General features: G+C 48.3%; 1 long non-coding RNA gene across 1 annotated transcript; it reads right to left on the reverse strand.

The window, feature by feature from the left end:
* Positions 1 to 8,259: 8,259 nt before the first annotated feature.
* Positions 8,260 to 9,246, reverse strand: LOC124903745 (uncharacterized). The gene is made up of 2 exons (XR_007065166.1): positions 9,002 to 9,246; positions 8,260 to 8,766 (listed from the first exon to the last, which is right to left on the reverse strand). It is a non-coding gene; the product is annotated as an uncharacterized LOC124903745 (long non-coding RNA).
* Positions 9,247 to 9,305: the final 59 nt, after the last annotated feature.

The following is a 9,305-nucleotide window of genomic DNA, read 5'->3' on the forward strand; positions in this document are numbered from 1 at the left end:
CTAGGGAACTCAGAACAAATGTTATCACTGTCATGGTGTTGTGTAGTCAAAGACCACTGGGCTTTGGCAACAGAAAGGAAGAACATGGAAGAGGAGAGGTTGGAGTATTTATGGAGCATTTACTATGGACCAGGCCTTGTGCCAGTTCTACCCTTTTACACGGCCCTCTCCTCAGCCCCAGAGCAGCTCTAAAAAGCACGTAATATTTCCCTTTTTGCAGTGAGTACCCCGGCCCTCAAGTGGTCCCTGCTGAGAGCAACTGGTCCTGTCCTCCAACTTTAATTCTTCAAATGAGCCCCCCCTAGCTGGGGTGAGACACAGGCACTGCGGACCCCAGGGACATCCCTTTTAGCAACTTGGGGTTCTGTTTAAGGCAGAGAGCACAACAAGGAAGAGGGGCATAGGAGGGCTCCCATCACCCTCACCTTCTACCCAAGTGACCTTGGCAAAGCCACTTGTCCTGGGCACGGGCATGCATCTGCTAAGTGGGCAGTGGATGTTGCTTGCTCTGGACACCCCAGAGTTTCAGAGCATGGGAGGAATTGGCCAATGCTTTCCCAGGACTTGGCATTCTCCTGCGTGCCCTGGGTGTCCACCATTAATTCGCTGGCAGTTGGGTTCATGGTACAGTGTCTAACCTGACGAGTACAAAGTTGAAAAGGGCAACTTGAGGAAGCAGACAGAGGCTGGGCTCCTTGTCTTATTGCCCCCCCAGCTGTGTGACCAGGGCTCCACTTCCCTCCTCTGTAAAAAGGGCATATAATGATACCTGCCCACTAGGTGTTGGGTCCATGCCATGAGATGATGCCCTTAGAATACTTCCCCATGCCTGGCATGTGGCAAACTTGCAGCAGCCAGCACCAGCCGGCTTGTCATGATCATGTGTTTGAAGCCTGTTCCGAATCATAGTGTCATGGGAATGGGAAAGACCATTATCATTTGTATTCAATGCAGACAGAGCAGTGATGATAAACCTAAGCTTGGGTATTACCTCTGAAGTAATTGGAGACCAAAGTGTGGGATTTGCTTTGAGGTCATCAAAGAGAGAATGCATTTACAAACTAGCAGGTTAAAGTTAACATAAACTGGAAATCATGAGGAAATTAAGGATATCACTTTAAATTAACCATCTTAAGTAGACAAGTACTCTAAATGTGATAAGACAGCTATGGCACTTTAAGTCAATGCCAATTGGTAATTAAAAGCGGATTTTTTTCAGGCTTAGCTGCCCAGGAGGAGAGATCAATGTCTTCATACAGGAGCTGCTGGTCCTCAGGAGGTATGGTTTCATTAGCCCAGGGCCCCACTTGCCCTCCACTTGGCAATAATAATAATTTGTTCTTGTAATGAAATAATATTCCTTTACTGCAAATGCAGTGTGCACAGGAGTTCCAATGCGACCCTGAGTACGACCTGATATGGTGACGATTTCATGGAATTCTGGAATCCCAGAGCTGGAAGGTATGGAAGTCAGGTCAAGCCCCACTTCTTCACTTCAGAGATGTCACCAGGGGTTTGTAGAGTTGTTCATGGACCTAGAAGCACCTAGCTGTAAACTTCTGGGAGGTTCCAGGAAACATTGAATGGAAGTGTTTCCAGGTAGCTGGATATCCAGTTTTGCTCTTCCCTCCCTCCTTCCCTCCCTTTCTCCCTTCTTCCTCTTTTCTTCTTCTCTTCTTCCTTCTCTTTCTCCTCCTCCTCCTCTTCCTTCATCTTCCTGGTCCTTCCTCTTCCTTCTGTTTCTCCTCATTCTTCCTTTTCTTCCTCTTCTTCCTTCTTCTCCTTTTTTCTCCTCTCCCTCCTCCTCTCCTCCTAAACATCCCAACCCACTTATGGTGAATGCCCTACTGCCCATATGCAACCTCAGTCTTCTAGCTAAGTCAGCTTGCCCAGCCTTCTTGGGACATCCGGTACCTGTTCTAACCTGGCATTCCTTGTGGCTGAACCTCTGGAAGCACTTGGGGAGGGTGGCAGCAGGCGTGGGCCTCAGGGTAGACACCCAGAGCCATGTCCTTGGTTTTCCTATCAGATGATGGTTTTACCTTCAAGTAATTGAAAGTTACTTACCTTTTGACTCCACTTTACCTGTCTGCAAAGATGACCAAATGTAAGAGGTGGCTTTATCTTTGGTTGTCGCCTCCAAGAAGACTCCAAAAGAGTCCTAATATACAAAAAACATCCTAAAGCCCTACTGAGCCCCTGTTCTGGGAGCTGGCTACAGGACCCCCTGATGTGAGGGGTTTTAGCCATCTCTAGTCTGCCACGGGTGATGCCACTGGGCACCCACTGGGCACTTGGACACTGGGTTCTCTTCCCAGGCCCAGGGCTCTGGGGTAGGGAGCCAGTGCCCTGGATCCCCAAAAGTTGTGTGGGTGAATCCAGGGGTGGCACCTCAGTTTTTAAGTCAGTACAGACAGGCAAGCTGAAACCTAATTGGATGGAGCTGCCATTGGAAACAGTTTCCGCAGATTGCAGGGATCCACAGCTTCCGCGGATTGCAGGGATCCACAGAGTGGTGCTTCTCCAAGGCCACACCTACAATTCTGTTTTAAATGATCGGGGCTACAGTTCACGGACACACTACACACGAAGGCAGGACACTGGAGAGGAGAACTTATTGTGCTCATGGATTGAAGACCATGAAAATGCGATACGTGTTCACTCTGGGGCTTTCTCTTTGGCTGTCTTGGTCGCTCTCCATCTCTTTCTTTCTGTCTGTCTCTCTGTCTGCATGTGTGCACTTCTCTCTCCCTATTTTTTTTTTTAAGACGGAGTTTTGCTCTTGTTGCCCAGGCTGGAATGCAGTGGCGTGATCTCGGCTCACTGCAACCTCTGCCTCCGAGGTTCAAGCGATTCTCCTGCCTCAGACTCCAGAGTAGCTGGGATTACAGGTGCCCGCCACCACACCCGGCTAATTTTTGTATTTTTAGTAGAGATGGGATTTCACCATATTGGCCAGGATGGTCTCGATCTCTTGACCTCGTGATCCGCCTGCCTTGGCCTCCCAAAGCGTTGGGATTACAGGCGTGAGCCACCGTGCTCAGCCTCTATCTCTTTTTTGTCCCTTGTCTTTCCTTTCCTCTTCCCCACCCTGCTTTCTCCTTCCCCGCACCTATCCGTCTCCCTGAGCCTCTCTCCCGTCTCTCTGACAGTCTGTTCCACCCTCTGATACCATGCATCAAACTTCAGATCTAGAGTCCCCTGACTTCTTCAACACACTCTATCCTGGCCGCCAGCATATGAGTCCCTGGAGCCCCACAGCTGCCTACACTAATACAGGAGGCTTCATGTGGAAATGAGTGAAGTTTGGACAGCTCTCGCCTTGGCTCTGGCCAACTCCATCCAGTCCAAAAATGCACAAACCACTCACTCACAGGAGAATAATACATTACAGAAAAAAGAAATAAACTCATGTGTCTCTGTTAACACTGGACTTTCTTTTCTTTCTTTTGCTTTTTTTTTTTTTTTTTTTTTTGAGACAGAGTTTCGCTCTTGTTGCCCAGGCTGGAGTGCAATGTCGCGATCTCGGCTTACCAAAACCTCCGCCTCCCGGGTTCAAGCGATCCTCCCGCCTCAGCCTCCTGAGTAGCTGGGATTACAGGCATGCATCACCACATCCAGCTAATTTTTGTATTTTTAGTAGAGACGGGGTTTCTCCATGTTGGTCAGGCTTGTCTTGAACTCTCGACCTCAGGCGATCTGCCCGCCTCGGCCTCCCAAAGTGCTGGGATTACAGGCGTGAGCCGCCACGCCAGGCCAACACTGGACTTTCTTCTAGCAAAACGTGTCTCCTGCATCAACCAAGGGATGCATTGTGCACTTGCAGCTGAAGCTCAGATATGTGGGCTTGTTGTGTTTAATGTTTGGAGGAGAAGTCAACTGAGGAAAATTCTAAAGAAAAAGTTAACATTTCTGGAGCCTCTCCTTGCCATGCACAAGCGTGCAGGGTCTAACAGTGAGGGTGTCTCGGGAGCATGACCGCTTGGCAGCTGGTGGCAGATTTTTTTTCTTTTTTTGGGATGGAGTTTCACTCTTGTCGCCCAGTCTGGAGTGCAATGGTGCGATGATCTCGGCTCACTGCAACCTCCACCTGCTGGGTTCAAGCAATTCTCCTGCCTCAGCCTCCTGAGTAGCTGGGATTACAAGCGTGCGCCACCATGCCCGGCTAATTTTTTGTATTTTTCGTAGAGATGGGATTTCATCAGGCTGGACAGGCTGGTCTTGAACTCCTGACCTCATGATCCGCCTGATGGCGGAATCTTTGCGGATTGCATTAAGTGCCTAGACTCACAGCACCAGCTCCCACAATGTGGCATAAAGATAAAAAAAAAAGAAAAAGAAAAAAAAGAAAACGAAAGCCAGGTTGAGCAAGAAACTACAAACAGTGTAATCCAATTTTTTAAGTGACAAATGCACAGAGAAAGCCTCTTGGAAGGAGGAAAGCATTGATTCCTGACCACCCGTAGGAGCCTCTGAACGCCGTTTATCTTGTTATCTTGGGGTCTTCCTGTCGTATCTATAGTAGGAACTGTTTACTTTCACAGCAGTGGGTACTATTATTAGCATCTTGTTTGAAATGAGAAAACTGAGGCAGAGAGAGATTAAATGACCTGGACTCCTGTGGTTAACTCCAGAATCTACGTGCTTAGCCCTACCCTTGATCAGATGACAGGCGCTATTTGCTAAGATAAGTTGTTGTCCCCGGGGGTTGGGATTACAGATGGTGTTTTTTCCCTTTTTCTTTTTGTATATATGTACTCTTTTTTTTTTTTAATGGTGAGCATACACCAACAGAATAATAAGCAAAGAAACAATAAAACGATCTAAGCACTGAGGGCAAGTGAAGCCTCCTTGGCCAGCATTATCCACAGTGCTGTCACACTGGTAGAAATTACTGTGATACGAGGTCAGGAGATCGAGATCATCCTGGCCAACATGGTGAAACCTCGTCTCTGCTAAAAATACAAAAATTAGCCGGGCGTGATGGTGGGCACCTGTAATCCCAGCTACTGGGGAGGCTGAGGCAGGAGAATCACTTGAACTTGGGAGGCAGAGGTTGCAGTGAGCCGAGATCATGCCACTGCACTCCAGCCTGGGTGACAAAGCGAGACTCCGTCTAAAAAAAAAAAAAAATTATAAAACAAAAAATGTCTGTGATAGCTTGGCTCCACCCACCCAGCTTTCAGGGTGTGGACATGGGCCATGGAGCCCCCTGGCCTCCGAGGAGAGAGGCTGCCTTGATCCCTCTTTATCTGGGGCTGTTGAAACTGCACCTGGATTCTATGTACAGCTCTTAGCTGAACATCCCTGGAGATGTCAACAAATCGGGCGTTGTTTAGAGAATCGCAGCAGGAATGATTAAGGAAAGAGCGGAACGGATTTGTCAGGATGGCTTTATGAAAGCTAAACACGAGGCTTGCAGTGATGACAACAGTCTGCAAGTAGGACAGGGGTTGGGCACCGGAGCACGGGAGGGGCACTGCTGCGCTCGCATGGAGAAGACCCCAGGGAAGCTCGCAGGACAGACCAGCAGCTTCCTGGCTGTAGAGGAAGGGAAGTGTGCTCAGAATGGGCTGGCACTGGGACTGTGGAAGAACCATTCCCACCGGCCGTCACAGGCATCATTGGGCTTTGCTGGGCATCACTGGGCATCACTGGACATCACTGAACAACACTGGGCAACTCTGGGTATCACTGCACTTTACTAGATATCACTGGGCCTCACTAGATACCACTGGGCTCTACCGGGCATCACTGGATATTTCTGGGCATCACTGCACATCACTGGGCTTTCCTGGGCATCTGGATATCTCTGGACATCTCTGTGTATCACTGGACATGTCCATCACCTGGCATCACTGGACACCACTGGGCACCACTACATATCATTGGGTCTTACTGGGCACCACTGGGCATCACTAGGGCATCACTGGGCATCTCTGGACATCACTGGGCACCACTACATATCACTGGGTCTTACTGGGCACCACTGGATGTTGCTGGGTATCATTGGTGATCACTGGACATCACTGGGCTTTAGTGGGCATCTGGATATCTCCGGGCACCACTGGGCATCCCTAGGGCATCATTAGGGCATCACTGGGTGTCACTGGGCATCACCGGGCATCACTGTATATCACGGGGCTTTACTAGACATCTGGGTATCACTGGGTTTTACTGGGCATCACTGGGCTTCACTGGGCATCTGGATATCTCTGGGTATCATTGAGCATCACTGGACCTTGCGTCATTGACGGGTGCGTCAAGGCTGTGAGAAGCTGGAGACCTGCCCAGGAGGAGGAATCCTCTGACCCGGCTTTGACTTTTCAATACAGTTGGGTCATTGATGCTTACAGTGAGGAGACGTGCACAGGGGCAGGCGACTGTAAGGGGTGGTGACGGAAAAGTGGTTGGGAGTGTGGTCCTGGGCTGACAATGCCCCAGGCCTTCTCTGTAGAGATAAGTTGGTTGAGAGGGAGGGGCCCATCCACCAGAGACCATGAATCTGTCTGGTTGTCGCCTGGGCTGGCGTGTAGTGGCACAATCTCGACTCACTGCAACCTCCATCTCCCAAGTTCAGGCAATTCTTGTGCCTCAGCCTCTGAGTAGCTGGGATTGTGCATCCAGCTTTTTTTTTTTTTTTTTTTTTTTTTTTTTAGTACAGATGGGGTTTCACCATGTTGGCCAGTCTGGTCTTGAACTCCTGGCCTCAAGTGATCCCCCCTCCTCAGCCTCCCAAAATACTAGAATTGCAGGTATGAGCCACTGTGCCGGGCCATCTTGTCTCTTGAATAAATGACAGAGCATGACTGGGCCCCTGTCTGCTCAGGCTGGCCTGGTATCGGGATCATATCACCATTTGGGGAGCAATTTCTATGATTATTTCCTTCCTTCATTTTACTGCATTTAGTCAACCTTCAACCTGTTTTTGCCCAGTGGAAACTCTCCTCTGCTTTCTACTTTCTTGGTATAGCTCTTTAGTATAGAAAAATTAAGGGTTTATAAATGTCATTGCTTGCTTTCTTGTGACATAATTCTCTAAATTGAAAAAAAAAATGCAGAAGCAGGAGTGCCCAGCCCTCCGGGATGATTTAAAATTGATCTATCAGTTCATTCCATCATTTTGATGGCTCTTTCTTTGCTTTTAAATATATTTAAGTTTTATGTCCCATCTGGTGCCAAGAATAATTTTGCACATCCTTTAAAACAAAGCAGAATAGAAATCAGGATAATTGGAAAGTTCTGCCAGACCCAAAGCCAGTGAAAAAGCAGAAAGGAGCAGTGACTCTGGGCTTCCTGGGCACCAGCATTAATCATTAAGCAAAACCCACTGGGCAAATGCTGGGCACTGGATGGAGAAAGTACAACTATAAAATAAACAAAGAAACATGTCTCTTCTTGGTGAGACACTGATAATCCAGAGTGGGAAGGAGAAGCATTTAAAAATAAATCTGTTGTTATAACATGGAAGGGCTGGGTCGGGCTACCTATCTAATTCCACGAGAGAACAGAGAAGGGAATTCATAACTTCAGCTCTTAATGAAATTTAACTTTGAGCTTCCTGGCAGCCCAAGGAAAAGATGAAATGGGTTGGGTTGGGTTTTATAATTCTCATTGCTCAAAGAAAATGACTGGACTTTAAGAAATTGCATAAACTGACTGGTTCACTAAATTGATCAAATACTCCGACTGCAAAAAAAAAAAAATGATGTTCTCGTAGTGATTTTGAGAGTTTTCCATAATAAATAAGTGAAAAAAGTAAGTTGAAGAACAACATGTAAGGTAATCCCCTCCTTGAAAGCACAAAATAAAAAGTTTTGAGCACCTGGAGAACAATTCCAAATGGCTGCTCCCCAGCCTGCCAACAGCAGCGCTCCCTGCAGGGCGTAGCTTCGGGGAGGAGGCCTGGACCTTTTCCTTGTATTCATCTCTACTGGTCAATTTGTTCAGACATCTCTTCCTTTCCTAATTAGAAAAAAAAAATCAAACAGGGGAAATACACCTGCAAACAGTATATACGAGGGGAAGAAAGCTTCCCCCGAGACACTTCTCAGAGTGGAGGTGGGTTAGGCCTTGGTGAGCCACCCCGAGAAGGGCTTCAGGCTTCCCACGGCCAAGTGCAAAGGGCAGGGCCCTTCTGCTGCATGAGACGCTGAAAAAGGCTGCAAAGGAGGAGGCTGCCTTTGGCTCCCCTAAACCAGCCCTGCCCCTGAAAGTAGGCGCTGGTGACCTGAGCACAACAGGCCCAATTTAAGACTGTTTCTTTTTTTTTTTTTTTTAATAGAAAAATCAAAAACAAACCAAGAGGCGAGTGGCAGAGACACCAAGTGCTCACCGCTGGTCTCCTCTCGCCTCTGCCTGGGAGGATCGGGTCCCCTTTCTCCATCCCGGAGCCTAGAGGCTCAGATCAGAATCTGGAGCTGCGGGTCACGCACGGTGCCAGAGGTTTAGGTTGACAACAATGATGGAGGCTTTCCTGCGATAAACGGCTCAATCTTCCCTGGAATCTGCACTCTCTCAGCTTTATGGCTGCCCATGCTGGAGCTTTGCAGACTGAACCATGTCAGAGGTCACTCTGGGCAGAGCTGTGGACGGATCCCTCCCTATCAGATGTCCCCAGTGGCCCCAGCAGGACGGAGTCAGTGGGACCATCTCTGACCTCACATGCAGACACGGAGGTCCAGCCGGCTGCCTGGGCTTGGTAGGGCTGTTGGCAGATTACTTCCTGGGCCTCCATCTCCTCATCCATAAAAGGGACAATCATTTCTGCCGGGGGGGTTGGGGTGGGGCAGCCACGATGTGAGAAAGCAAGTTAAAGTATTAGGTAAAAACATAATGTGCCAAATACAAACAGTTGAGAGCTTAAATACTGCATCAGGCAAATCTAAATTATTACAATCTGAATCCTGCCACGATCTGGGTGACCTTAGGCTATTCATTCAACTAACAGCTGAACATCAGTTCCCTCACTTGTAAAATGGGCAGAAATAACTACCCTCACCTCAGAGCACATGCCAGGCATCCGTACACATTCTCCAAGCACCCTATCTCCAACTGTGTCTCCTGCCCCTCCTCTATTTACTTCCTTCTTCTCCAGGCATTACCATCCAGCCTCATCGTATTTATCTCTTTATAATCTCCTCCTGTCCATCCATCCCTGCAAGGAGATTTCCGCAAGGACGGGGACTTTTGTCTGTTTTATCCTCTCCTGTATCTCCAGTGCCCAGTGCAGTGTCCGGCACATGGTAGATGCACAATAAATGACTGGGAAATAAACAAAAGATTAGCTAGGCTGTTGTTACATC

This window comes from Homo sapiens, chromosome 16, assembly GCF_000001405.40.
Source record: "Homo sapiens chromosome 16, GRCh38.p14 Primary Assembly".
NCBI classification, from domain to species: Eukaryota; Metazoa; Chordata; class Mammalia; order Primates; family Hominidae; genus Homo; species Homo sapiens.